Here is a 2,335-nt window from a genome sequence, read left to right as displayed (position 1 = left end):
ACTCTCATCTGAGACAAGGCAAGTCCCTTCTGCCTATGAGCCTATAAAATCAAAAGTAAGGTAGTTACTTCCTAGATACAATGGGGATACAGGAATTGGGTAAATATAGCCATTCTGAATGGGAGAAATTGGCCAAAACAGAGGGGCTACAGGCCCCATGCGAGTCCAAAATCCAGCAGGGCAGTCAAATCTTAAAGTTCCAAAACAATCTCCTTTGATTCCATGTCTCACATCCAGGTCACGCTGATGTAAGAGGTGGGCTCCCATGGCCTTGGGTAGCTCCACCCCTGTGGCTTTGCAAGGTATAGCCCCTCTCCTGGCTGCTTTCATGGGCTGGCATTGAGGGTCTTCGGCTTTTCCAGGTGCACGGTGCAAGCTGTCAGCGGATCTACCATTCTGGGGTCTGGAGGACGGTGGCCCTCTTCTCACAGCTCCCCTAGGTGGTGCCCCAGTAGGGACTCTGTGTGGGGGCTCCAACCCCACATTTCCTTTCTGCACTGCCCTAGCAGAGGTTCTCCATGAGAGCCCCATCCCTGCAGTAAACTTCTGCCTAGACAACCAGGCATTTCCATACATCCTCTAAACTCTTGGCAGAGGTTCCCAAAACCCAATTTTTGACTTCTGTGCACTGACAGGCTCAATACCACATGGAAGCTCCCAAGGCTTGAGGCTTGCACCTTCTGAAGCAGGACCTGAGCACTATGTTGGCCCCTTTCAGCCATGGTTGGAGTGACAGGGACACAGGGCACCAAGTCCCTAGGCTGCACAAAGCACAGGGACCCTGGGCCTGGCCCATGAAACCACTTTTTCCTCCTAGGCCTCTAGGCCTATGATGGGATGGGCTGCCACAAAAGTCTGTGACATGGCTGGAGACATTTTCTCCACTGTCTTAGGGCTTAACATTCAGCTCCTTGTTACTTATGCAAATTTCTTTAGCCAGTCTGAATTTCTCCTCAGAAAACAGGATTTTCTTTTCAATCGCATTGTCAGGCTGCAAATTTTCCAAACCACTTCCCTTATAAAACTGAATGCCTTGCATTACTTCCCGTTTTCACGATCTGCTGCTCGTCTCAGGCTCGTAGTTCGCCTTCAACATGCCGGAGCCAGCGAAGTCCGCTCCCGCGCCCAAGAAGGGCTCGAAGAAAGCCGTGACTAAGGCGCAGAAGAAGGACGGCAGGAAGCGCAAGCGCAGCCGCAAGGAGAGCTACTCCGTATACGTGTACAAGGTGCTGAAGCAGGTCCACCCCGACACCGGCATCTCCTCTAAGGCCATGGGAATCATGAACTCCTTCGTCAACGACATCTTCGAACGCATCGCAGGTGAGGCTTCCCGCCTGCCGCATTACAACAAGCGCTCGACCATCACCTCCAGGGAGATCCAGACGGCCGTGCGCCTGCTGCTGCCCGGGGAGTTGGCCAAGCACGCCGTGTCCGAGGGCACCAAGGCCGTCACCAAGTACACCAGCGCTAAGTAAACTTGCCAAATTGATGCCTGCAGCTCCTGGGGAAAGTGGAAGTCAGATAACTCCTTTATGAAAAGGCAGCATTCAAAAACTATAAAAAATATAAATCCAACATTATTAAAATTTTGCACATCCAAAGATATCACGAACAGTTAAAAACAAACCCACAAGGTGACAGAATATATTTGTCACATACTGACAAAAAGTTAAAACTCAAATATATAAAGAATATTTACAAATCAAATCTCATAAAATAAAAACTGTAGAGAATCTGAATAGACCATTCCAAGGAAAGTGGGAAAATCTCCAAATAGCCAAAAATCTCATTTAGAAAAACTCCGATTTCACATTAGGAAATGCTGATAAACAATAACTCTCAAGCACTGCTGGTGGAATATGGGAGTATAAATTTAAAATACTACCCTGGAAAGCAAATTGTTCATTTTTATTCATGTTGAATATGCACATTTACCAAATAATTCCACTTCCATGTAACCAGAAAATGCACAGCTGTATACAGTGCTGTTTTGTAATGAGGAAAAAAAATCAACAGAGAAATGAATAAAGTATTTACTGACAAAAAAAAAAAAAAACAAAACTGAATGCCTTTAACAGCACCCAGGTTATCTCTTGAATTCTTTGCTGCTTAGAAATTTCTTCCACCAGTTACCCTAAATCATCTCTCTCAAGTTCAAAGTTCCACAGACCTCTAAGGCAGGGGCAAAATGCCACCAGTCTCTTTACTAAAACATAACATGACAAGAGTCACCTTTGCTCCAGTTCCCAACAAGTTCTTCATCTCTGTCTGAGACCACCTCAGCCTGGACTTTATTGTCCATATCATTATCAGCATTTTGGTCAAAGCCATTCAC

The 2,335-nt window shown here is 46.3% G+C and overlaps 1 protein-coding gene across 1 annotated transcript, besides 1 other annotated feature; it reads left to right on the top strand.

The window, feature by feature from the left end:
* Nucleotides 1-2,335: part of a sequence alteration artifact (region identified as an assembly artifact by the Genome Reference Consortium. This region falsely duplicates sequence located at GRCh38 chr21:43376890-43571979) that runs on past both edges of the window.
* LOC102724334 (histone H2B type F-S-like) lies at nucleotides 1,043-1,481 on the top strand. Its single transcript, XM_006723918.5, has one exon. The coding sequence runs from the start codon at nucleotides 1,095-1,097 to the stop codon at nucleotides 1,473-1,475; it is 381 nt and encodes a 126-aa protein (XP_006723981.1). The 5' UTR covers nucleotides 1,043-1,094; the 3' UTR covers nucleotides 1,476-1,481.

The sequence above is a fragment of the Homo sapiens genome, chromosome 21 (genome assembly GCF_000001405.40).
Source record: "Homo sapiens chromosome 21, GRCh38.p14 Primary Assembly".
NCBI classification, from domain to species: Eukaryota; Metazoa; Chordata; class Mammalia; order Primates; family Hominidae; genus Homo; species Homo sapiens.
The sequence above is the reverse complement of the archived record's forward strand: the minus strand, read 5'-3'. Positions and strand labels throughout refer to the sequence as shown.

Excerpts from the sequence above, each read along its gene's own strand:
- LOC102724334 (XM_006723918.5), top strand. The coding sequence starts at position 1,095 with ATGCCGGAGCCAGCGAAGTCCGCTCCCGCGCCCAAGAAGGGCTCGAAG.